General features: G+C 43.3%; 1 protein-coding gene, 1 long non-coding RNA gene and 1 pseudogene across 4 annotated transcripts in view, besides 4 other annotated features; 1 reads left to right on the top strand and 2 right to left on the bottom strand.

Annotated features, from left to right (window-relative positions):
* Nucleotides 1-1,554: 1,554 nt before the first annotated feature.
* Nucleotides 1,555-6,415, bottom strand: LOC124904899 (uncharacterized). The gene is made up of 2 exons (XR_007067580.1): nucleotides 5,898-6,415; nucleotides 1,555-1,813 (listed from the first exon to the last, which is right to left on the bottom strand). It is a non-coding gene; the product is annotated as an uncharacterized LOC124904899 (long non-coding RNA).
* Nucleotides 3,881-4,380: an enhancer, noted in NCBI's record as "H3K27ac hESC enhancer chr20:36740455-36740954 (GRCh37/hg19 assembly coordinates)". NCBI's record gives its function as "activates a minimal SCP1, AML or CMV promoter by ChIP-STARR-seq in primed H9 embryonic stem cells {active_cell/tissue: H9 hESC(primed)}" and the evidence as "EXISTENCE:reporter gene assay evidence [ECO:0000049][PMID:30033119]".
* Nucleotides 6,352-6,646: a silencer, noted in NCBI's record as "tiled region #2618; K562 Repressive non-DNase unmatched - State 8:EnhW". NCBI's record gives its function as "represses a minimal TATA promoter and a strong SV40 promoter by Sharpr-MPRA in K562 cells {active_cell/tissue: K562}" and the evidence as "EXISTENCE:reporter gene assay evidence [ECO:0000049][PMID:27701403]".
* Nucleotides 17,733-18,019, top strand: RN7SL237P (RNA, 7SL, cytoplasmic 237, pseudogene; annotated as a pseudogene).
* Nucleotides 20,560-20,619: a silencer, noted in NCBI's record as "silent region_12896". NCBI's record gives its function as "represses an Ori minimal core promoter by ATAC-STARR-seq in GM12878 lymphoblastoid cells {active_cell/tissue: GM12878}" and the evidence as "EXISTENCE:reporter gene assay evidence [ECO:0000049][PMID:35858748]".
* Nucleotides 23,232-23,526: a silencer, noted in NCBI's record as "tiled region #13539; HepG2 Repressive non-DNase unmatched - State 14:Gen5', and K562 Repressive DNase matched - State 14:Gen5'". NCBI's record gives its function as "represses a minimal TATA promoter and a strong SV40 promoter by Sharpr-MPRA in HepG2 and K562 cells {active_cell/tissue: HepG2 | K562}" and the evidence as "EXISTENCE:reporter gene assay evidence [ECO:0000049][PMID:27701403]".
* RPRD1B (regulation of nuclear pre-mRNA domain containing 1B) overlaps nucleotides 24,069-26,790 on the bottom strand; it is a 58,619-nt gene continuing 55,897 nt past the window's right edge. For all 3 annotated transcript variants that reach the window (NM_021215.4, XM_047440346.1, XM_047440347.1), the window contains one exon: nucleotides 24,069-26,707. In NM_021215.4, coding sequence (NP_067038.1) covers nucleotides 26,558-26,707 — 150 coding nt within the window. In that variant the 3' untranslated portion in view covers nucleotides 24,069-26,557. The remainder of the gene's footprint in view (nucleotides 26,708-26,790) is intronic.

Genomic DNA, 26,790 nt, shown 5'->3' with positions numbered 1-26,790 from the left:
AGAATACACCAAAACCATGGAGTATATGTCAAATTAGAGTAGCAGTGTTCTAAGGCCTGGAAGAAGAGCAATGGTACTGATTATATTTAGACTTCAGTAAGTTAAATATTCATGTTGTAATTTCAATGATAACATTAAAAGAATAAAAACAGTGCATAATCCCCAAACTAGTGGAGAGGGGAAATAGAACGCAAAAGTAATCAGTTCAAAATGGGAAGGAAGGAAGGAAGGGAGAAAGGGAGGAGGCGGTAAGAAGAAAGGAAGGAAGGAGGAAGGGAGGGAGGGAGGGACAGAGGGAGGGGAGGGGAGAAATCACAAAATAAGCTAGTGGGTTTGCACCCATATACATTGATAAATTATATTAAATATCAAAAGACCAAATGCTCCAGTTAAAAGATGAATATTCATGAAGATTAATTAAAGAGAAATGGCACAAAAATATTAGAAATAAAAAATGAACATCACTACAGATGCTGCCAACATTAAAGAAAAAAGAGGCTATTTTGAAAAATTTTGATCCAATAAATTTGAAATTTTAAGTGAAATAAGCAACATACTAGAAGGTATAACATTCCAATTTTGATTTAAGACAAAATAAAAAACCCTAGATAGTCCTTTAACAATTAAATAAATTGAATCAGTTGTTAAAACCCTTCCAGTAAGAAAACTTCAACCTCAGATGGCTTCATTGGTAAGTGCTATCTAACATTCATCTTTGATAATCTCTTCCAGAGAATAGAAAAAGAGTGAATAAACTCCAATTCATTGTATGAGGCTGAACTACCTCGGAGGCTGAGGTGGCGGTATCCCTTGAGCCCAAGAGTTCAAGGCTGCAGTGAGCTATGATCAAGCCACTGCACTCCAGCTTGAGTGACAGAGAATGAGATCCTGTCTCTTAAAAAATGAATAAATAAAAAATGAATATTAGCCTCCCAAAATTCAACATTATTAAAAAATACCACAACCCCCTAGAATTCATTCTTCTCCCTGCAGCCAGAGGGAGTTTCTCAAACATAAATCCAATCATGCATGCCCTTGCCTAGCCATTCAATGTCTCCCTGTTGTCCTTACTATGAGCTGCATGGTCTGGCGCACTCCTGCCTCTCTCTGTCAGTTCCCCAGTCACCCATTCTGCTGTAACCAAACTGGACTTTTTTGATTTCTCAAAATATCCCAAACTCTTTCCCTCTTCAGGGCTTTTGCACAAAGCTATTCTGTGGTGTTCTACTTATTTCTTATACTCTAAAAGTTAGAGACATAACATAGTAATTTATTGCTGGGGATGGTGGCTCACGCCTGTAATCCCAGCACTTTGGGAGGCCGAGGCAGGCAGATCACTTGAGGTTGGGAGTTCGAGACCAACCTGACTAACATGGAAAAACCCCGTCTCTAATAAAAATTCAAAAATTAGCCAGGCATGGTGGCGGGCGCCTGTAGTCCCAGCTACTCGGGAGGCTGAGGCAGGAGAATTGCTTGAACCTGGGAGGTGGAGGTTGCAGTGAGCCGATATCACACCACTGCACTCCCGCCTGGGTGATAGAGTGAGACCCCATCTCAAAAACAAAAACAAAACAGTAATTTATTATGTTTCCGGGGTTGACTGTGCCCAGTTGAGTGTTTCTTTCTGCAGCTGCAGTCAGATGGGGGCTAGGGCTGCAGTCATCTGAAGGCTCGAGGGCTGGATGGAAGACAGCGCATTCATATGGTGGGCAGTTGACGCTTGCTGTTGGCTGAGAGCCCAGTTACATGGTTGGCCACTCCATGTGGCTTAGAATTCTCCCAGCATGGCAGCTGGATTCCAAGAGGAAGTGGCCTAAGAAACAGAGTCCGAAGAACCCAGAAGCAAAAGCTACTGGAGTAATTAAAGGTTACATCCAGAAATAACACAGCATCACTCCTGCCTTATTCCATTGGTCAAAGCAATCACAGGTCCCACCCAGAATCAAGGCTGGAGAAATAGACTCCATCTCTTGCTGAAGGAGTGGTGAGTCACACTGCATAAGAGTGAATGTGATGGGAGATACTGCTCAAGCCATCTTTGGAAAATGCAGTTTGCCATAGCTAGTCTCTTCTTGTCATTTATGCCTGCCCTTAAATGTTTCATGACTTTCCCTGTCCACCCTATCAAGGGTAGTCACTATGTCATGTCACTCTATTTTAATTTTTGTCATAGCCCGTATTATCATCTGGCATTATGTGATATCATTGTATAATATTTGCCTTCCTACAGCTGAACCTAAGCTCCTTGAGAGTTGGGACTTTGTCTTGCTCAGTGCTATGTTGCTCCTTCCTCATGAGGGCAGGGCGTATGGTAGGTGCCCAGAGACTTACTGAATTATTGAATGAAGCTTCTGGGGGAAGGTTTGCACTCGGCAGGCAGGAAGCTCTTTTGAACATCCAGGGATGAACCTCGTGAGAACAGGCTACTGCACATGTCATTGAGTTCCCTATTACTGGCAGGGTTCATGCAGGGACAGGATGGGCTGCCTCCAGGAGTGCCAGAGAAAGAACCTGGACTCAGAGGGAGAGGCTGGTCCTTCCCCATGCTGGACCTCAGCTCTTCTCACCTTGGGAGCCAGCCTCTCTTCTTACCTTTGGCTCCTCTTCAAGTCAACCTGATCCCTCTGGTTTCTGGGGATAATGAGCCAGGATTTATGGCTCCACTTCAATCCCTAATATTGTCACTGTCCATTCAACCTCCCCTAGGCTCTGCTTTCGCAGAAAACCCACAACGGTTATTTCTCCTCCCTTTCCCCTAACCCCGCCCCACCAGGCTTATCTTCCTATTTCAAGTTTTCTGGCAGAGAACACGGCTCCCCCATGTGGTGGGCATTGGGCTGGAGGCCTCTCCACACACAAACTTGAGGGAGGTCACTCTGTTAGAAGCCTCCAAAGGCGCCCCATTGCCTAGAGGAATGTTTTCTCCATACCACAGGCCCTTTGATTAAAGCGAATCCTTCCTTGAACCACCACAACCACCACCACCACCACACTGAGCTCTCACTGTGTGCCTGGCACTGTGTTCTGAGCTTTGCCTGTTTGACCTCACTGAATTCTCCATAATTCCTCAGGAGACAGGGGTTATTATTGGCTCCTCAGGTCACACGGTATGGGGACTTGGGACTGGAACATTCTCTGTTCAGACCACACATTTGTGAAACACTGTGAAACATTGTACCCGATCCCCTAATGGCATAGCACAGAGTAGTAGAGCTGCTTTCGGTGGAGCGGGGAGTAGGGGGGTCAGGAGCCCTGCCTCCTCAACTCTCCCACCTTCTTCCTCGAAGCAGCTCCCCCAAACCACTGAGGCACCACATCCATCATGCTCCCCATGGTGGGGCCAAGGAAGCAGAGCGGATGATCAGGTGGACTCTGGAGTCAGAGAGCTCTGTGCGTTCCAGCTGCACAAACCTGGGCCTCGGTTTCCTCCTGCAGCATGGCGCTGATGGGCATGCCTACTTTGGGAGGGTTACCATGAGGATTAAACAAGATGGGGATGGCACCCAGGAGGTGCGCCTTGCCTGTGGGCCTGGTTTATCAGCAGTCTCTGGGGTTTAGGGGAGCTCCTCAACACCTCCCTCTGGACTCAAAACCATAGGCCCAGGGTCGGGAGCTGAGGAGTCAAGGCAGCCCTGACCCCTGCCAGGAACACAGGCCGATCAGCTGTGCCGGCTCTACTTGCAGCTGGTGCATCGCGGGCAGATGCAGGGAGGCAAAGCTGCTAATGAATCAGTCAGTTTCCAGAATGTCCCTCCTCCCCCACCCCCCGCCCCCCACAACAGAATGCTCCTGCCCTGACAGGTGCCACAGGAGGGCTGAGGCCCAGCTGGCAGCAGACCCAAACGTTGGTTGAACCACTGGGTAACTCTGTAATGAACGGTCCCCCAAGCTGGAGGCACTAACCTTGCTGCCCACCTGAAAGTCTGGGCTCTGGGGTTAACCCTTCCCTTCCCAGCCCCAGCCCCAAGAGCTCAGCTCGTGGCAGAAGGGCTGCACTGATTACCCATTGCTGCTGAACTAATGACCCAAAAACTTAGCAGCTGGAACTAATAGTGGTTTCTCTGTTTCTGTGGCTTCGCTGGGTGGTTCGGACTCAAGGGTTTTCACGAGGTGTTGGCCTTGGTTGTGGTCATCTTAAGGCTCGGCTGGTGGAGGGTCCAATTCCAAACTCATTTACTACCTGTTGGCAGGCCTCAGAAGAGCTATCTCCAAGATCATCTGTATGAGTTCAAGGTTACAGTGAGCTATGACCGTGCCACTGCAGCCTGGATGACAGAGTAAGAAGAAAGAAGAGAAGAGAGAAAGAAAGGCAGAGGAAGGAAGGAAGGATGGAAGGAAGGAAGGAAGGAAAGAAGGGAGGGAAGGAAGGAAAGAAGGAAAGAAGGAAGGAAGGAGGGAGGGAGGGAGGAAGGAAGGGGAAACATCTGTTGAATTGAAAAAAAGATTTAAGTCCTTGTGCAGCTGATAAAACTACAACTTTGAAACATAAATTCGTTGGAATCACAGAACTCCGGGGCTCAAAGGGGACTCAGAAACCATCCAGCCAAACTGATTTTCTCATTTTCAGAGGAGGAAACTGAGGCCCACAGACAGGAAGGACTACCCAGGCTGCAGTAAGTAAGGACAGAGATGAGAGGCCTCTGGGGTGACCCCTCACCTGCTGTTTTCCGTCAGTCACAAGCCCCATCTACCTTCTGTCACCACCTAACCTTCACCACTGGCATTTGACAAATGCTAACAGGTCACTCCATCAGCCATCGGCACAAATGCTGGAAGTCACTGGGAGGCCTCCTTTCTGGTAAATTATTTTCTCAGTTTTGGAAATACCTAAAGATGCACAATCAGTCTAGAAAATAGGCCGGATGCCGTGGCTCAAGCCTATAATCTCAACACTTTGAGAGGCCGAGGCAGGAGAATTGCTTGAGGGCAAGAGTTTGAGACCAGTCTGGGCAACATACAAAGACCCTATCTCTACAAAAAATGTGAAAATTAGCTGGGCATGGTGGTGCTTGCCTGTACTCCCAGCTACTCAGGAGACCAAGGCCAGAGGATTGCTTGAGCCCAGGAGTTTGTGGTTACAGTGGCCTATGATCATACCACTACACACTACACTCTAGCCTAGGTAACAGAGTGAGACCCTGTCTCTTAAATTAAAAAAAAAAAAAAGAAAAGAAAGAAGGAAAGAAAGAAAACAATCATTTACCCCAAATCAAGAACCAGCTCTGCTTTGGAAAATTCTCCACTGTGGGTTTCTCCCAGGTGGAGGCCTAAACTGGTTGAGCTGGCAGGGGCCAGAGACACACTAGGCTAATTCCAGAAGGGGTAACAGGCCAGAGAGGGACAGAGACTTTCCTGAGGTCACACAGGTCATCAGTGTCAGGGCTGGGACCAGAACCAAGGCCCCTTCACCCTCAGGCCAATGGCTCCACACAAGGCTGCAGGTGGCAGGCCAGGATGAACTTGAAGAAAGCTACAGACTGTGACCCAAGGCTAACAGATTCTTCTTATAACAAGGGGTTCTTACTGAGACCGCGGTCAGCTGCGCAGACTCCTGCCCTAGATACTCAGCAGAGAGTAACTCTACTTGCAAAAGTGGCAAACTGGTGTTCCAACAAGATCCAAATTAGTTTCCAACATTTAAAATCGAGAGATTCTTACATACAAATCTAGGTTTTCAGCTTCCTTTTAGAAAAATCGGACAATCTGGCGATGCAATCCGGCATGCCAACACCTGGTTGACCTGAGCAGTGGCCGTCTGCAGAGGCAGGCACACCATCTGTCTCTCCTGTCCAAGTGGGCCAAATTCCCTCCTCCTCACTGCCTTCTCAGCCTTTGTAGGCATTGAAGGTTGCAGCCCCTCTTCTACTTAAGTTTGCAGAATACCCTCTATAACATACTTCTCAGGTAAGTGGCTTCTTTTGCTGCCTCCAGGGACCAGGAGTTCACTACCAGTCTGTTCCATTGTTGGCCGGGTAGATGATGGTGGGGGGAGCTTGACTGGAACCACAGCATCTCTGAAACCGTGTATAACAGGTCATGCTATAATGTAATCCCAGAGCCTAATAAACTTTATTGCCTCATAACCAGAACTCTCTGTGCTTGTTTTGGCTGAGGAGATAAGAAATCTACCACTAGGAATGACTTTACAGACTTGCAGGCCATTCAAATAAAGTCCAGACACCACTGCATTCCGGGTAAACTAGGGGCCAGGTCTGGATGGCCTTTTTGAGGTTTCAAAGGCAACTATGGCAAATATCAAGAGAGTTTGGAGGTCCTACCTACTTTGGGTTCTTAAGCAATGACAGCTCTCATATAAATTACTTTCCCATGACTCAGGCCAGGCTGAGCTGACTCCTGACCTTGCCAGGAGCTGTCATCACCATCCCTGTGTCATAATCCATGGGAGGAAGCGGGGAGGGTCTCATAGCAATGTCAGGCCACTGAGCACTTCATCAGGAGGCGGCCTGGGAAATTTGAGCAGACACTCTTTATAAAGTTCTTGGCAAGCTTCAAAGTTTGGAATGTTAAAATAGCAATGGCTTTGTTCCTACCACACTTATCAGCAGTCCAATCTCAAAGCCAACAGAAATATTAGTCTGGACCATTGGATCTGGGAGGGGCCTTACATGCTTCATCTCATCCCATTCTGCACCTTAACCAAGAAGCTCCTTACAGCACCCCAGCCGAGAAGGGTCAGCCAGCCTCGGTGGGGCCAACATGTCTTCCTGGTCATGGGGCAGAAGCCCTCCCCACTGGAACATCCGTCTCTTGCCCCAGTTTTAACCTCAAGGCAAGAACCATTTTTATGCTCCATCTTCATCCAGAGCCATTGAGTCCCACTGTCCTTGCTTTTTCTTCACTTACAGGTTAAACTGTTCCCCATCATCCATTCCTTCCTGGGAGAACTTGATTTTGAGGCCTGGCCACCCTCCTGCAATTGGCCAGGGTCCTTCTCCAGGATCTTCTTACAACAGCTGTGACCTTAAGCGGACACAGTTCATACTCCAGGACCTCCTGATTGGGTCCAGCTGTGCCCCATCTCAGGCTGTCACTCTCTGAGTTTACACAGATTGTTCTGTATCAGCAAACAACTTGTATTGATTTGGCAGATATATAGCTTGTTACTTGAGCAATAGCAATTCATGAAGTCCCCATAACCTTATGAGATAGAGCCTATTATTATCCTTCCCAGTGTACAGATGATGAAACCAAGACACAGGGAAGTGAAGTCACTTGGCCAAAGAGCAGGTTAGGTAATGAGATCCAGACTTAAACTCAGATCATGGGGGTCTGGAGCTGCTGCCTGTAAGCATCCCAGTGCTGTCTCTCATTGCAGCTGTTCATGTTAAACATGGGGAGAAGGCTTCCAGGGAGATGCGGAAATACTTAGGCCTTCTTGATACGTCAGCCCCATGCCAAGCAGTGATTTGTCCCAAGTCACCCAGTTCTGCAGTGATGGAGTTGGGACTTCAACTGGGTTCCAAATTCAGGGCTCTTTGCCCAAGACAAGAGCATGTGAGTGGACTAATCTGATTTAATTGAAGTAGAAACAAATCCTCCAGGGTAGCAATGTCACAGAGATCCTATCCAGGGAAGCAGAATGCATGTAACCTGGCTTTGAGCCCGGATGCAGATCTGACAGGCCACAATGACACAGTGGGCCCCTGGGCCAAGGAGAGGAGAACTGCCCAATCTAAGTATCTGAGAGTTTGAAATAGCACATGTTAGGAAATACACAGAAACCTCATTAATTCAGAACCCAATAACTCAGAAGCCATCATGATCTCTGCGGGCTGAAGTGCATATCACATTAATCTGGAGATCGGCAAACTCTTTCTTGTAAGGGGACAGATAGTAAAGATGTTGGGAAAGGCAGACACAGGCTGCCGGCCCTTGTGTGGTTGCATAAGAGCCTGCCTCTGGCCTGGAATATTTCCATACAGGAAAGTAAAGAACCCTCAAAGCCTGTGCTGGGTATATCACCTCTCTTGGAAATGTCTTTTCCTGTTCTGGCCTTGATGTATACTTTTTTTTTTTTTTTTGAGACAGAGTCTTGATCTGTCACCCAGGCTGGAGTGCAATGGCGCAATATCGGCTCACTGCAACCTCCGCCTCCCGGGTTCCAGCGATTCTCCTGCCTCAGCCTCCCAAGTTGCTGGGATTACAGGCACCTGCCACCACGCCCGGCTAATTTTTGTATTTTTAATTTTTTTAGTAGAGATGGGGTTTCACCATGTCAGCCAGGCTGATCTCGAACTCCTGACCTCAGGTGATCCACCCCCACCTTGGCCTCCCACAGTGCTGGGATTACAGGCATGAGCCACCACGCCTGGCTGATGTGTACTTCTTTAGTCTGCTTAGACACGGGTGTCATATGACACCTGGCCAGCCCACTGCTGTATGTGTTCCTGGCAGAGAGGGAACAGGAACAGAGTCCCTCACCTGCAGCACAAAAGAGGGGCTGCAAGAGTGCAATAGTGAGCACTGGTTCCCAAGTGAGACCCGCTGGCCATGGGGGACTGATGCTATTTTTTTTTTATATTTTAAGTTTTAGGGTCCATGTGCACAATGTGCAGGTTTGTTACATATGTATACACATGCCATGTTGGTGTGCTGCACCCATTAACTCATCATTTAACATTAGGTATATCTCCGAATGCTATCCCTCCCCCCTCCCCCAACCCCACAACAGGCCCTGGTGTGTGATGTTCCCCTTCCTGTGTCCATGTGTTCTCATTGTTCAGTTCCCACCTATGAGTGAGAACATGTGGTGTTTGGTTTATTGTCCTTGTGATAGTTTGCTGAGAATGATGGTTTCCAGCTTCATCCATGTCCCCACAAAGGACATGAACTCATCATTTTTTATGGCTGCATAGTATTCCATGGTGTATATGTGCCACATTTTCTTAATCCAGTCTATCATTGTTGGACATTTGGGTTGGTTCCAAGTCTTTGCTATTGTGAATAGTGCCACAGTAAACATATGTGTGCATGTGTCTTTATAGCAGCATGATTTATAATCCTTTGGGTATATACCCAGTAATGGGATGGCAGGGTCAAATGGTATTTCTAGTTCTAGATCCCTGAGGAATCACCACACTGACTTCCACAATGGTTGAACTAGTTTACAGTCCCACCAACAGAGTAAAAGTGTTCCTATTTCTCCACATCCTCTCCAGCACCTGTTGTTTCCTGACTTTTTAAAGATTGCCATTCTAACTGGTGTGAGATGGTATCTCATTGTGGTTTTGATTTGCATTTCTCTGATGGCCAGTGATGATGAGCATTTTTTCATGTGTCTTTTGGCTGCACAAATGTCTTCTTTTGAGAAGTGTCTGTTCATATCCTTCGCCCACTTTTTGATGGGGTTGTTTTTTTCTTGTAAATTTGTTTGAGTTCATTGTAGATTCTGGATATTAGCCCTTTGTCAGATGAGTAGATGGCAAAAATTTTCTCCCATTCTGTAGGTTGCCTGTTTACTCTGATGGTAGTTTCTTTTGCTGTGCAGAAGCTCTTTAGTTTAATTAGATCCCATTTGTCAATTTTGGCTTTTGGATGCTGACTGTTGAGGCTGATCTTGCTCTGTCTCTTCTCTAGGTGAATAAAGCATTGTGCCATCCAAGGCCTGTGCAAGTGGCTTTCTTGGCAACCCCAGCACCAGCAAACCATGCAGTAGGTTGAGATTCTCGGACTGCCGCTCCTAGTGGCAGGCATTAGTACGCTTTGCTATCCTCTGTGCAGTGGGACTGCTTCCCCTGGAGGTGGTAACAGGTGTCATGTGCTCAAAATATTTTAGACGTTGTGGGCCACCATACAGCCTTCATCTCAACCACTCAACTCTGCCATTGTATGGCAAAAGCCGCCACAAACAACACATAAGCAAATAGGTGGGGTTGTGTTCTAGTCAAACTTTATTTACAAGAACAGGCCAAGGGAAGTTTGCTGACTTGGGCACTAGCTATGGGAAAGGCACATCACCATAAACAAGCCAGGCTCTCACAGACTGCCAAATCCACTTATAAGAACTTATCAGGCCAGGTGCGTTGGCTCACACTTGTAATCCCAGCACTTTGGGGGGCAGAGGTGGGAGGGTTGCTTGAGGCCAGGAGTTCAAGACCAGCCTGGGCAACATAGTGAAATCCCATCTCTACAAAAAATTTTAAAAATTAGCCAGGTGTGGTGGCTTGAGCCTATGAGTTCAAGACTGCTGTGAGCTATGATTGTGCCACTGCACTCCAGCCTGGCTGGCAGAGTGAGATCCTGTCTCAAAGAAGTAAAAAATAAAAGAACTTTTCAAACACTTAAGCAGTACCTGTTTGCCCACAATGGATCAGCAATCTTTAGTGACTCATTAAATTAATTAATTAATTTATGATGTCTTGAGACGGAGTTTCACTCTTGTTGCCCGGGCTGAAGTGCAGTGGTGCGATCTTGGCTCACCGCAACCTCTGCCTCCCGGATTCAAGCGATTCTCCTGCCTCAGCCTCCAGAGTAGCTGAGATTACAGGTGCCTGCCACCATGCCTGGCTAACTTTTGTATTTTTAGTAGAGATGGGGTTTCATCCTGTTCGCCAGGCTGGTCTCAAACTCCTGATCTCAGGTGATCCATCCGCCTCAGCCCCACAAAGTGCTGGGATTACAGGCGTGAACCACCACGTCCAGCCGTCTCATTAAATTAAAACAGTAATATTTCTATAGAGAGAAAGAGAGAGAGAGAGAAGCAAAAAGAGCTCTACTTCTCAGCAACTTTAGCCCTCGTCCTTTTGACATGAAACAATTACTACACTTGTGCCGACTCCATCGTCTTTGAAGCCCAGTGGCATTGCTCATCTTGCCTGAGCCCCCACCACACTGGGAGAGGTGGGTAAAGCACAACCCTCTCATGTGAGAGATGAGGACACTGGGGCACAGCGTAGTCATATATCCTAGATTCCAGAATTAATAAAGTACAAGTCAGTTCTCAAATTCACATCTTTCAGGTTATAAACTTGAATGTCCTTTCTACTGCCCAACATTCCTTCCCTCACAAATTAAAGAGTAATCAAATTATTTCTTTTAAAATAGATGATTGTTCATGTAACTTTGCATTAGATAAGCCCAGATGAGTGAGATTTTATCGTATAGGTTCCCTGTAGTTTGCTGTAACAAACAGCAACAAATCAGGAGGCAGGAGGCGGCAGCGGGAACTTGGAGAAGTATTTCCTTTCTTGGACCTCAGTTTCCCCTGGCGTAAAACAAGGCTGCAGATCTTCTATGTCTGGCATTCTCCAACAAGCAATACAGGGTGATGGAAAGAGAGCTGGAGACAAGAGGGACTTGGGGCTGAATCCCCGTTCCATCTATACCAGCATCACACTCTATTGGGCGAGTCACATCTCTGAGCCTCTGTTTCCTCATCTGTAAAGAGGGGATATTGTGAAGTCACAGGATTATTGTGGTTAATAAATGGTGGGGAGGGGGGAGGAGTTTACAGTTATAGCCCAATAACTGGCTCATCACTTCACAGGTAGTCAAATGTTCATTACACTTCGGAAACTTGCAGCATGATTTGCAAATATTCTGGGTGGGGCGGGGGCTGTCTTTCCTTTTTTATAGGGTCCAAATGAAGAATTTCTAGTTTTTAATTCTGAGAAAGCCCAATTTATGTACTTTTTTGTTGCTTGTGCTTTTGGTGTTATATTTAAGAAGGCTTTGCCGAAACCAAGGTCATGAAGATTTACTCATATTTTCTTCAAAGAGGTTTATAGTTGTACTTCTTACTTCTAGGTCTATGATCCATTCTGAATTGATTTTTACATGTGGTGTGAAGAAGAGGTCAAACTTCATTCTTTTACATGTGAATATTCAGTCGTTCCAGCACTGTTTGTTGAAGAGGCTATTCTTTCCCCATTGAAGAGTCCTGGCACTGTTGAAAATCAATTGGCCATAATGTGAGGATTAGTGTCTAGACACTAAATTCCATTCAGTTGATTTATGTCTGTCCTTATGACAGTACTACACAATCTTGATTGTTGTAGCTCTGTAGTAAGTTCTGAAATTGGGACTCACAGTGTGAGTCCTCCAACTTTGCTCTTCTTTCTCAAGATTGACAATTTCCATATGAATTTTAACATCAGCTTGTCAATGTTTACAAAAAAAAAAGGCCTGCTGGAATCTGGATAGGAATTGCATTGAATAGGTAGATCATTTTGGGAAGTATTGGTATTTTTTTTTTTTTTTTTTTGAGATGGAGTCTCACTCTGTCACCCAGGCTGGAGTGCAATGACACGATCTCATCTCACCGCAACCTCCACCTCTCAGGTTCAAGCGATTCTCCTGCCTCAGGCTCCCAAGTAGCTAGGATTACAGGTGCCCACCACCATGCCCAGCTAATTTTTGTATTTTTAGTAGAGATGAGGTTTCGCCATGTTGGCCAGGCTGGTTTCGAACCCCTGACCTCAGGTGATCTGCCCACCTCAGCCTCCCAAAGTGCTGGGATTACAGGCATGAACCACTGCGCCTGGCTGTATTGGCATCTTAATAATACTGTTTTCCAATCCACAAACATGGGATATCTTTCTCTTTATTTAGGCCTTCTTTTCTTTCAACAATATTTGTTATTTTCAAGTATGACTTTTGCACATCTATTGTTGAATTTGTTCATAATTATTTATTGTTTATGATGCTGTTGAAAATGAAATCATTTTCTTAATTCTATTTTTTCTATTTTTTCCTCTTTGTTTTTGGATTGTTCATTGCTAGTGTTTAGAAACATAATTAATTTTTTTTGTATATTGGTCTTTTATCCTGCCACCTTGCTGAACTTGCTTATTAGTTCTAGAAATTTTTTAGTGGATTATTTAGGATTTGCTGTATACAAGATCATGTCACCTGTAAATATCAATAAAATATCAATAGTTTTACATCTTCCTTTCCAGTCTGAATGTCTTTTATTTCATTTTCTTGCCTGATTGCCCTCACCAGAACATTCAGCACAATGTTGAACAGAAATGGAGAAAAGCATCTTTGTCTTGTTCCTGATTTTTTTTTTTTTTTTTTTTTTTTTTTTTTGAGACGGAGTCTCCCTCTGTCGCCCAGGCTGGAGTGCAGTGGCGCAATCTCGGCTCACTGCAAGCTCCGCCTCCCGGGTTCATGCCATTCTCGCGCCTCAGCCTCCCAAGTAGCTGGGACGACAGGTGCCCGCCATCACGCCTGGCTAATTTTTTTTTTTTTTTTTGTATTTTTACTAGAGGTGGGGTTTCACCATGTTAGCCAGGATGGTCTCGATCTCCTGACCTCGTGATCTGCCTGCCTCTGCCTCCTAAAGTGCTGGGATTACAGGTATGAGCCACCGTGCCTGGACTTTTCCTGATTGTTTTTTTTCTTATTTTAGTTTTTAGGAGACAGGGTCTCACTTATGCTGCCCAGGCTGGTCTCAAACTCTAGACCTCAAGCAATCCTCCCTCCTCAGCCCCCAAAGCACTGGGATTATAGGTATCAGCCACTGTGCCTGGCCTGTGCCTGATCTTAGGGGGAAATTTTGTAGTTTTTTGTCATTAAGTATGTTGCTAGCTATGAGTAGTCCATAGATGCTATTTATCAGGTTGGAGCAATTCTCTTCTATTCCTAGTTTGTTGTCTCCACAAATTCTGGTATGTTGTGTTTTAATTTTCATTCAGTTCAAAATACATTCTGATTTCCCTTTTGATTTATTTTTTATCCATATTTTGTTTGGAAGCATGTTACATAGTTTCCAAATATTTGGGGATTTTCTGAGGATCTTTTCAGTATTGATTTAAAAAAATTTTTTTTTGAGATGGAGTCTTGCTCTGTCACCCAGGCTGGAGTGCAGTGGCATGATCTCGGCTCACTGCAACCTCCACTTTTCAGGTTCAAGCAATTCTCCTGCCTCAGCCTCCTGAGTAGCTGGGATTACAGGCGCCCAAAATCATGCCTGGCTGTTTTGTATTTTTATTAGAGATAGGGTTTCACCATGTTGGCCAGGCTGGTCTCCAACTCCTGACCTCAGGTGATTCGTCTGCCTTGGCCTCCCAAAGTGCTGAGATTACAGGCGTGAGTCACTGTGCCCGGCCTTGATTTTAATTTTAATTTCACTGTGGTCAGAGAATGTACTTTCTTTCTACAACTTGAATCCTTTAAAATTTTTTTAAAATAAAAATTTAGTCAGCTTGCTAGAGAACTTTTGAATTTATTGTTTTATGGCCAAGAATGTGGCCTATATTGGTAAATCTTACTTGGACACTTGAGAAGAATTTGTATTTTGCTGTTGTTGGGTAGAGTATTCTAGAAATGTCAATCAGGTCAAGGTTAATGGTGTTGTACGAGTCTACTATAATCCTGACTTTCTGCCTACTTATTGGTCTTAGTCTGCTCAGGCTGCTGTAACAAATACCATAGACAGGATGGCATAAATAGTAAGCATTTATTTTTCACAGTTATGGAGGCTGGAATTCTGAGAACAGAGTGTTAGCATGGCTGGGTTATGGTGAGAACCCACTTCATGGCTTGTAGACAAGCCACCTTTCTGTCCTCACAGGATGAGGACAGAGAGAGAGGGAGCAAATTCTCTTCTGTTTCTTCTTATAAGGGCAGTAATCCCATGATGAGGGCTTCACAACCTCATTACCTAATTTTCTCCCAAAGACCCCATCTCCATATACCACCATATTGAGGATTAGAGTTTCAACATATAATTTTTGGAGAGGAGGGAGGACACAAACATTTAGTCCACAGCATTATTCTATCAATTATTGGGAAGGGTATTGACATATCCACTACAATTTTGTATTTGTCTATTTTCTTTGCAGTTCCATCAGTTTTTCCATTATATATTTTAAAACTCTGTTATTAAATGCATGTTTAACATTATCATGTCCTCTTAATTGACCCCTTTATTATTGTGAAATGACCTCATCTATCCCTGATAGTATTCTTTTCTCTGAAATCTAGTTGGCCTGATATTATTTAGATTTCTTTTGTCTAATGTAGATATATCTCTTCATCCATTTACTTTTAAACTATTTGTGTCTTTATATTTAGTTTGTTTCTTGTAGGTAGCATATACTTGGTCTTGCCTTTTTAAAAAATCCTATCTATTGGCTGGGCACAGTGGCTCATGCCTGTAATCCCAGCACTTTGGGGGGCTGAGGTGGGCGGATCACGAGGTCAGGAGATCAAGACTATCCTGGCCATCAAGGTGAAACCCCATCTCTACTAAAAATACAAAAAATTAGCTGGGTGTGGTGGCACGTGCCTGTGGTCCCAGCTACTCGGGAGGCTGAGGCAGGAGAATTGCTTGAACCTGGGAGGCGGAGGTTGCAGTGAGTCAAGATCATGCCACTGCAATCCAGCCTGGGCGACGAGGCAAGACTCCGTATCAAAAAAAAAAAAAAAAAAAAAAAATCCAACCTAGCTCTGCCTTTTTATTGAGATGTTTAGACCATTTATATTTAATGTGATTACTGGTATGATTAGATTTTAGTCTATCATCTTGCTATTTATTTTCTATTTGTCTAATCTGTTCTCTGCTCATTTTCCTTTTTCTGTCATCTTTTGGAATAACAGAATAATTTTTACAATTTCATTGTATCTCCTTTGTTGACTTCTTAGTTACAACTCTTAGCTTTGTTATTTTAGTGGTTGTTTTAGACTTTTAGTGTACTTGTTACCTTAACACATTCTACTTTCAAGTGACATAACACTTCACAAATACTATAAGAACTTCACAAGAGTATAATTCCATTTATCGCCTTCTGACCTGTATGTTGTTGTTGTCATACATTTCACTTTTTTTCCCAAATGTATTATTATTTTTGCTTAGTCAATTGTCTTTTAAAAATATTCCTGTGTAGTTATCATTTTCAGTGCTCTTTATTCCTTTGTGTAGATCCAGATTTCATCTGGTATGACTTTTCTTCTGTCTGAAAAGACATTTCTTATTGTTCAAGTGTAGTGGTGATGAATTCTTTCAGTTTTTGTTGCTGTGATAGTCTTTATTTCCCTTCCATTTTTGAAAGAAATTTTTGCTAAATATAGAATTCTAGACTGATGGTGTTTTGTTTTGCTTTGCTTCTTTCAGCACTTTAAAGACGTCATGCTATTTTTTCTGGCTTACATAGTTTCTAAGAGGTCTGATGTCATGCTTACCTTCGTTGTTCTGTATATAATGCTTCTTTTTACCCACTTACCACTGGTTCAGCAATTTAACTATGATGTGTTTTAATGTGTGTAGTTTTCTCATGTTTATTCTTTTTGAGGTTTACTGAGCTTCTTGGATCTATGGCTTTATAATTTTCACCAAATTTCTTTGACATTTCTTCAAAAGTGTTTTCTGTCTCTTTCCCTCTTTCCTCTCTTTCTAGTATGTATTTTTGATTCTTGGTACTGTCCCACAGGTTCCTCCAGTTACTCTTTGTCCAGACTTTTCTCTCTGTGCTTTATTTTGAATAATTTCTATTTATGTGTCTTTAAGGTTATAGTAATCTTTTCTTTTGCAATGTCCAATCTGCAGTTAATCCCATTCAGATTAATTTCAAATATTATTTATCTCTAAGAATTTGCTTTGGATTTAGGTAATATATATCCCATGTCTTTCCTCATTATGTTCATGTTTTCCTTTATCTCCTTGAGTATTTGCAATATTGATAATAGCTATCTTAAGGCTTTTGTCAGCTAATTCAATAATCTGTGTCATTCTGGATCTATTAATTTATTTTTCTCCTAGCTCTGGGCCATAATTTTCTACTTTTCTGCATGCCTGGTGACTTTTTGTTGGATGATAAACACAGTGAATTTTACATTGTTGAGCGCTAGGTTTGTTGTATTTCTTTAAACAGGGTTAGGCTTTGTTCTGCCATGTAGTTAAGTTACCTGTGGATCTATTTAAGGTCTACTATTAAGCTATTTTTTTATGGCAAGCTGTGAGGAGCTTTTACTCTAGGGATAATTTAGCCCTACTACAAAAGCATAATCTTTTTGAGGATTCTACCAATGCTGTCTGTATTACAAGGTCTCTCCCCACTCTAGTTAGTGTAAACCTCAACTATTCCCAGACTTTTTTGAGCTCTGGGGTCTATTGCTTTCTGTTTGTTCTTTCTGTTTGATCTCATGGTATTTCATCCCACACATGTACTGATTGGAACTCACTTAAGGGCCAGAGGCCCCTCTGCAGAGCTCCTGAGCTCTGTCTCTGTTCAGATACTTCCTATTATTTTTTCCTGCAAGTTCCAGCCACCTCAGTCTTCCTGACTCACTTAAGGGTCAGGGGACTGTCTGCAGAGCTCCTGAGCTCTGTTTCTGTTCAGATACTTCCTGTTATTTTTCCCTGCAAGTTCTAGCCACCTCAGCCTTCCTGAACTCTGATTTCTATCTCCTCAATTCAGGGATACGGTGGATCTCTGGTTCCCTATCTTTGTGCTGCACACTGGAAGTGCCCTGAATAAGTAAGGTAGGCAATCATAGCCTTCTCTCTGTTTGTTTTCCTTCTCTCAGGGACTTACAATTCTGTGTTTCCTATTGTCCAATGCCTGAAACACTTGTTTTATATATTTTGTCTGCTTTTATAGTTGTTTATGGTAGAGGGCAATTCCCATAGCATTTAATCCTTCATCGGTAGGAATGAAAGTCTCTAACTTAGTTGTTTTCATTATTGATTTGTACCTCAAAATATCATTTAACTAGTAGATGATGATTTTATTAAAGATTGGTAGAGACTTTTAAGAAAATTGTGTTTGGCTGGACATGGTGGTGCACACTTGTAGTCCCAGCTACTCTGGAGGCTGAGGTGGGAGGATCACTTGAGCCCAGGAGTTCTGGGCTGTAGTGCACTATGCTGTTTGGGTGCCTGCAATAAGTTTGGCATCAATACGGCAAACTCTTGGGAGTGGGGGACCATCAGGTTGCCTAAGGAGGGGTAAACCAGCCCAGGTCAGAAATGGAGCAGGTCAAAACTCCCATGCTGATGAGTAGTGGGATTATACAAATTAACTCATAATGGATCAAAGATCTAAATGTAAGAGCTAAAAGTATAAAATCCTAGGACTAAATCTTCATGGTCTTGGATTTGGCAGTGTTTACTTAGATATGACCCCAGAACAGGCAAAAGAAAAAATAAATTGGAATTCATCAAAATTAAAACCTTATGTGTATCAAAGGACACTATCAAGAGAGTAAAAAGACAACACACAGGGTGGGAGAAAATATTTGAAAATCATGTATCTGATTAAGGGTCTAGTATCCAGAATATTTAATGAATGTTTACAACTCAACAACAGAAAAGATAACTCAATTCAAAAATGGGCAGAGGACTTGAATAGACATTTCTCCAAAGAAGATATACAAATGGCCAACAAGCCATTTGGCCATGTTGTTATGGCCAACATGACAAGATGCTCAATGTCATTAGAAAAATGCAAATCAAAACCACCTCACACCACTTCATGCCTATTAGGATGGCTATTGTTACAGCTTCAATTGTGTTTCCCGCCGCCAGCCCCCCTGCAAAAAATATATATTGGAGTCCTAACCCCCAGCATCTGTAAATGTGACATTATTTGGAAATAGGGTCATTGCAGATTTAATCAAGATGAGGTTATTAAGGTAGGCCTTAATCCAATATGACTGGTGTCCTTAAAAGAAGGAAATTTGGACACAGAAACACAGGGAAGATGGCCATTTAGGAAGATAGAGGCAGAGGTTATAGTTACGTTGCCACAAGCCAAGAAACGCTTGGAGCTACCAGGAACTGAAAAAGGCAAAAAAAAAATCCTCTTCTGGAGGCTTCAGGGGAAGCGTGACCCTGAAAACACCTTGATTCTGGATTTCTAGTTTCCAGAACTGTGAGACAATATACTTGTTGTTTTAAACTACCCAGTCGGTGATATTTTTTTATGGAGCCCTCGGGCAGTAATACAGCTATAATTTTTTAAATGAAAAATAACAAGTTTTGGCAAGAGTAGTGGTTATTTTATTTTATTTTTTTAATTTTACATGTCAACTTGGCTGGGCCATGGAGCCCAGATATTTGGTCAAATGTTATTCTGGATGTTTCTGTGAAGATGTTTTTGGGATGAAATTAACATTTAACTTGTTGGATCTAGAGTAAAGCAAATTACCCTCCCTAACCTGAGTGGGCCTCGGCCAATTAGCTGAAGGCTTTAATAGAACAAAGATTGACCTCCCCCTAAGCAAGAAGGAATTTTGCCAGCAGATTGCCTTTGAACTGCAACTCTTCCCTAGGTCTCCAGCTGCCAGACTACCCCAGCAGATTTGGGATTTGCCAAACCTCCACAATTGTGTGAGCCAATTCCCTTAAAATAATTTTTTCCCTTTCTCTATGTATGTTTTTCTGGAGAACCCTGACTAATACAGTGAGGATGTGGAGAAACTGGAAGGCTCATACATTGTAGGTGGAAATGGAAAATGGTGCACCCACTCTGGAAAACCATTTGGTGGTTCCTCGGTAAGCTAAACGTAGAATTACCATGTGACCCAGCAATGGCACTCTTAGGTATATACCCAACAGAACTGAAAACAGGTGTTCAACCCAAAACTGGTATGTGAATGCTTTCAGCAGCCCAACTGGCTGTCGCGAAGAGGTAGAAACAACCCAACTGTGCACCAACTAATGGATAAATAAAATGTGGCATATCCATACAATAGAATATTACTCAACCATAACAAGGGATGAAATTCTGATATATGCTACAACATAGATGAACCAAGCCTAAAAACATTATGCTAAATGAAAGCGAGGCATAAAAGGTCATATATTGTATGATTCCATTTATATTAAATATACAAATAGGCAATTTCACAGGGAGAGAAAGCAGGTTAGTAGTTGCCAGGGCCTGGGAGTAGGGGATAATGGGAGTAACTGCTTAATGTGTACAGGGTTTCCTGTTGTGGGGATGAGAATGTTCTGGAACTAGATCATGGTGACGGCTGCACAACATCACAGATGTGCTAAATGCCACTGAATTGTACACTTTAAAATAGTTTTATATATATATATATATATATATTTTTTTTTTTTTTTTTTTTTTTTTTTTTGAGACAGAGTTTCACTCTTGTCACCCAGGCTGGAGTGCAGTGGCGCGATCTCGGGTCACTGCAACCTCTGTCTCCCAGGTTCAAGTGATTCTCCTGCCTCAGACTCCTGAGTAGCTGGGACTACAGGCACACACCACCACGCCTGGCTAATATTTTTGTTTTTTTTTTATTAGAGATGGGGTTTCACCATGTTGGCCAGGCTGGTCTTGAACTCCTGACCTCAGGTGATCCACCCTCCTCGGCCTCCCAAAGTGCTGGGATTACAGGTGTGAGCCATCGTGCCCGGCTAAAATAGTAAATTTATGTTATATGTATTTTACCACAATTTTGAAAAATATGTTCACATATACATAGGATTATGAATTCACAATTTAATGAACAAACTGAGGTTGTGAAAATGAACTTTTTAAGTAACAAAAATGGAAAGGGGAACCAAGAATTAAAGGTCCTAAAATGAATCATGTGTGTGTAACCACCATAGTACACAGGCAGGATTGGGGAACTGCAATCGCAAAGCAACTTTGTCTCCTATGTCCCTTGAAATCCAATTTGTGGGGCTAATGTATCCTGTAACTCTCAAAGAAAAACCCAGGCCTCCATAACTTCTCTAGTCATTTTTATTTAAAAAAATTCCTGTAGTCACACTTAAAGTGTAAAAACAGTCTCATTTCAGAGATGTAAATGTGCAAGCCCATGTTACAATCAAAATAGCCTATCATGTGAAGGTGACCTCTCTGGGTCTGCTGGGGGCGAGAGGCCAGCATCTGGGAAGGGAGGCCAGCATCCGGGAAGGGAGGCCTCCCTTGTTTACCGTTTCTGACCCTTCCAGGGACACAGCAGTGGGAGTGAAGCAGCAGCAAGAGACAGTCCTTAAGGTCTGGTGGTGGTGACTGGGCGCTGCTGGGCAAAAGTTTAACAAAGTTTAACAGCTTCCTTCCCCCATGGGCTCCTCAGATGCTCCTTGGAGTGGTTCCTCCCCTCCCTTCCCCCAGTCTCCCATCCTCATCTCCCATCACCTGGGGTCTCTTGGGGTGAGGGTTTCTCCCTGGCTCTTTGCTCTACTCCTTCCTCAGCACTGTGAGTCTGAAGTTCGCCTCCTTGAAACCCCGGGCCTCTTGCCCAGGCTCTATCACCCCAGGATGCAGGCCAGTTCTTCTACATGCATGCTCTGCCCTGACAAACTCTAGGAGTGGAGTCTGCACCCAGCCTCTCCCTTGCTTCGTCATCAAACACTTAGCCAGCACTGGCATCTCATCCTTCAGACTTTTCCAGGCAGGGGTCTGTTTAATCCACCAGATCAGGGACACATACTAAGCTCCATGGAGGCCCTTTCCCCTAATCTTGAGATAAAGTGTAGGTGGCACCCACTGCTCCCACTAGGGAGATGCCAAACACACCAATGGCCCTTTTCAAATAATTCTCATCCCAAATCCTCTTCCTTTACCTCTTAACTCCTGACTCTTTTCATACCCTTAAAGTGGGTGAGGGGGGTTGAGGATGACAGGTTTTTGACCACTCTGTTGTAAATGCTGCAGATGGTCTAGCCATGTGGTCTCTATTACTCCTTCCAGCAGACATCTATTTTAATCTTGTTACATGTGTTTATAAATACCTGCATTCATTATTTAACATAGTAACAGCCACCACTGAGTCCCTAATTTGTACCAAAGCACTAGGCCCTTTTTACAAACATCTCAGTTATTAACAAGTATGTTGGTAACTACTTTCTTTCCTAAGAATTTGTATAGTGAGTATTTTAAAATCTATGGAGTACATTATTCAGGTACTGAGTTTATTAAGATTCTCAGTAGGAAGAAATATTCTGAAAACCTAGTCACAGGACTTCAGAGGTTACGTAATCAACCCTACTCATTTCCTGTAAGAAGCAGCTGAGGTCCCCAAGGGCTGAGTGACTTGCCCAAGGTCATCATAGTGAGAGGAGATGAGAAGATATGAGTTTTCACTCATCACAGCTGCCTCTTATTCACAAAAAATACTAGATAAATGGCCTGCTAATTTTAATATTTATCAAACCAATGGTAGAAATGAATTTTTAATGCAAAATAACTATTTGAGTCTAAAAAAAGTGAACACACTGGGCTTTCAACACTACATAAAGCTGTATGAATCCCAACCTACTGTACAGGAGAATGGATTCTTAATTGAATCTGTGCCTCAGAGTGGAAGCATGATTTTTAAATGGAAAATCCTACAGAGGTAGCAGTGAGCGATGAGCTTTAGCCAGATGAATTATTCCAGGAGAAAGTAAAAGAGGAAACCATGCTAGCAAATGGCTTTTTCTTAAAGATCCCAAATAAACCAAATATGAATTTTGTGCAGTGAACTACTGTGTTTACTCCCATCTTCCCGGTCGTGGCACTGTCTCCTGTGCCCCGATCTTTAGACTATGGTCTCCAGGGTTTCCTATGTATACACAGCACAATGGTGATACTATTCATTTCTCTAACAAATAGTACTGCGTGCCCAGGATATACCATCCAGAGTTCTCAGACTTCAGTCCCATATGCTTCTTATGCAGCACAACAATCGTAGCTTTTAGGGCTCGCAGAAAACCTAGAGATAATTTAGTCCAATACTACATTTTGCAGGTAAGAAAGCTGAGGCTGGCTGTGGTGGCTCATGCCTACAATCCTAGCACTTTGGGAGGTCAAGGCGGGAGGATTGCTTGAGCCCAAGAATTCGAGACAAGCCTAGACAACATAGTGAGTCCCTATCTCTAAAAAAAGTCAAGAAAAGAAAAAAATTGGCCAGGCGTGGGTAGATGCCTGTAGTCCTAGCTCCTTGAGAGGCTGAGATAGGAGGATAGCTTGAGACGAGGAGATTGAGGCTGCAGTGAGCTAAGGTTGCACCAGCCTGGGCAAGAGTTAGATCCTGTCTCAAAAAGAAAAAAAAAAAAAAAAAAAAAAAAAAGAAAGAAAAAACTGAGGCCCAGAGAGGAAAATACCTTGCCCAGGAAGGTGACACAGAGAGTTAATGGCTCTAGTCACAAAGGATAAGCATTTTGACAGATTCATGGACTCTTGGGTAGCTCCATCTTCAGCTCTGAAGACCTCAAAGTCATTTTGTAGCCTGAAGTGCTAATTAAACCAGAAGAATCATGGACTTACTATTTATAGGGAGGAGTGAAGAAATTAGACCATGAAATCTGGGGACACAGAAGGAGATCTTGTCTCTTGAGATTCACATGTAACATCCAACTTTCATATTTTAACAGAACTTGGGTAATGCAGTCTCAATTTTCCTAATACTGGACTTATCTGGGTTGCAGTCTTGATGAACCACACCTACTACAGAGGTTTTTGCACCATAAGATAACCCCACTTCTTCTGGCAGATGCTGCCATTACCCAGTGGACAGGTTTATGATCCTTCCAAACATATCACTTGCTTCAAAAGGACCTAATTCAAAATCATTTTTGTTATTTTGAGAGCTTTAACCAGCAATACACAGTCAATATGCTTTCACTCCATGTACAAGTGAAAAGGACAAAGCAAAGCCATGACTGTTTTTAAGAGACATACCACTTGGGTTCGCAATTATCTCACATTTTTCGTCTTTTTACTGTTCAGCGTGGCTTTCCGTGTACTGCCAAAATCAAATCGCTCTCAGGAGGCCTACTGGTGTGAACAAAGGCGCTAAAATCAAAGAACTTCCAAGTTTTAATCTGTCAGAGATTGGCTGTGAAGTATGGGGGAAGAGTCATTTAATCTCTCTCCATCAGTTCCCACTTCTGTACAATGAGGGTAAAACTATGGCGGCACCTCTCATGGGTACTGTGTGGACTGCCTAATTAAAGCTAATTAAGCCCCTGGAAAGAACCAGAAAATACTACGTAAATGCTGAGTATTTATGTGCCGCTAACAGACACAAAAACTCCCAAGGGACAAGATTCTGTGCCGACAGCACATTCTCTATTGGTGATTACTAATCACCCACTGCTTACAAAGAAAGGCACTGTTTTCAGTAACAGGGTAGTTTAAAAAAAAAATCACACAATGTTGTTCAACAACACCATCTTTATTCAAAAATATATATCTATGAGACATTTCAGAATATACTGCTGCCGCCAACGACAGCCTATACTTCTAAATAGTCCTAAATTAATATACAAATTTAAGCTTTGAAAATATTCTTTAAGAAAAACAAACAAACAAAAACAAGGGAAGATTGAAGACTTTCTGAGGAATATGACCTAAAGGAAAGGTCCTTTGAGGCCTACAGATGCCCTAAGAAAGAAAAAACACAAAAACAAAAACCACCCACCCCACCCACCAAGTCACCTCATACATACAAGGAGGAAAGTTCATTTAAATTAAACAAATGAAGTAAGCACACTTTGGGAGGATGTGGACAGCAGAATTAAGATTTAAAAAACGAAAGCATTTCATCAAAACAAAAAACTAACTTCCTCACAGGAAGTCCACTAGTAACAGGTATTAAGAGGCCAACACATTCATTTACATAATTGCTACAGTTTCATTTCTTAACTTTTGCTGTAATAATTATGCACCAATTGCTGGTCAGAGACTCAGTTGGATAAAACAGAGCAGTGGGCTAAATCCATTCTGCTATATTTTCATCTAGTTGATCAGAGCAAATATCTACGATCCTCTTTTGGCTGGATTGTGGCTGCTCAGATCGCACTTCCTTGGTGAAAGCATAGAGTGTCCCAGATGGGCCTGCTCCAAAACACGCTCATCTAGAAAGCAGCACACCACGGGGGGTGGGGGAGAGGTTGGGGAGTGCAGCAGCAGCAAAGATTACAATTTATCTTGCAATTTTAGTGATGTCACCTATGGCCTCTGGAAGAAAAACCTTATAGACTCATTAATTTAACAGTGACAGAACGACAGGCAGTGTCCATAAGCAAACAACACACAGTCTGAATTCAAATCTGAATAACAGCTCAAACACTACTAGGTTCTACACAGAGTTAAACTGAGTATCTGCTATGACTTTTCATTGTTCTCACTTCATGACAAGCAGGAGAGCTTCTGGAAGGGAAGCCCGTTATGCTTTATAAACATAGGTTATGTTTCAATGTGTTTAACATGTAAAATTACATGTAATTTTTGGTGATCCTGGAAGTAGCAACACAAATTAATGGAGATTACAAAGCCCCCTCCACTGAATTCCTTTTTATATAGTTTGGGTTTCAGCCTCTGGTCTATAACTCCTATTACACTACTGGGGCAAATCGCTTTCTGCCCTTTCCAATGTCAAAAATAAGCCTGCCAAATTAGAATGATTTACAATTGGCAGGCTGAACCTTTACTATAAGCAAGATAAAAATTGTCTCTAACTACATTATATAGTCATAATGTCAGCTGACATGATAATAGAATTAAAACCCCCAATTAATATCCCCAACTCCCCGCTTCCCCTGCCCGAGACGAGCTATTCAATAACATCTGACGCAAGTACTCCCCGTCGTGTGGGGACAAGGACCTGTGCAGTGGCGTGACATGACAGACGGACCTGCTCAGCGTCCTATTTGCAGTGATGTTCGAGTTTAGCCACCGTACTGTGGACATGCACCCAGACAGCGGATTAAACGTTAGTGTGTACCCTACTCCCAGAAGAAAGGGTCCAAGAAACACCCACACAGATCCCAAATGCAGCACACCTGTGTGTGGGGCCTTCATCTTTTGGAGCCCACCAATGCCTGCCATCCCTAACAACTGCCTTCGCACCCACCAGGGATCAAGGCATTCTGTTTTTCGGAACGTGCTCCGACAGTGGAGAAGTGCAGCATGGGAAGGTTGTATCTAGGAACTTGAAGCAAATAAATTCCTTTTAATTCATGCTTGTGATCCCTGTTATTCTGTCTCTGAACTGTGCCTTTATGCTCCAGATTAGCTTTGAATCTTATTGCTAGATTCTCCAATCTGTTTACAAAATAAATGCACCTAATCTTCGTGCATCACTAGGAGAAGCAATGGAAAGGGAGGATCAGAGATTTGGCAAACTCTTTATGGCAACGCTACGACAGCTGTGCCTACAACCTTTTGGGGCAGATGCAGCTGGGAAAGCCAACGTCTCCAGGACAAGTGCCTTAGTGGAAGCCCACACCGAACTTGAACAAGCCCAGCCCAGAAAGGAGAAGCTGCTTTCATGATAAAATGCTGTCATGAGGGACAAGATTCTTTCGAAAGCTTCCAGAAGTACACATGATTTTCATAACTTCTTAGGTATAAGGAGACAGTTAAGAATGGAAAACCAACAGGGGGGCATGAAAATATGAAGTGGGAGAAAAAGTCTGTAGTCTTTGCAAATATGAATATAAACCAGATTCCAGTCGCCACTGTTCTGAACTGTGCTCAAGATGAGAGGCTGAAGAGGAGAATCAGAGTCTGAGGTTCTTTCTTGAGGCTGGGGGGCTGGGCGGAAGAAGGGATAGAACCAGGGGCTAGAAGGTTATTTCCAACCATGACTTGCCCTCTTCTTTCTGCTGGTACAAACAGAAATCTGGGACATGACACCCATCCTAGTCAGTTGAAAACAGGTCCCCAGCAGAGGGCAGGGGGGCTAAGCCCCCTGTGACGTTGGGCAGCAGTGAGAGGTCTGGCAAGCTCTGAATATGGGATTTCAGTTCCTTGCGGACCTGGGTTACTCGTGCAAGCTTCTGTTTGTATTCCTAAGGAGATAAAGAGAAGACAATACCGTTAAGTCTGTGCGTGCCGAGGGCATGGGTGCTGCTGGAGCCGGGCAGCTACTCTC

This window comes from Homo sapiens, chromosome 20, assembly GCF_000001405.40.
Source record: "Homo sapiens chromosome 20, GRCh38.p14 Primary Assembly".
Taxonomy (NCBI): domain Eukaryota; kingdom Metazoa; phylum Chordata; class Mammalia; order Primates; family Hominidae; genus Homo; species Homo sapiens.
The sequence above is the reverse complement of the archived record's forward strand: the minus strand, read 5'-3'. Positions and strand labels throughout refer to the sequence as shown.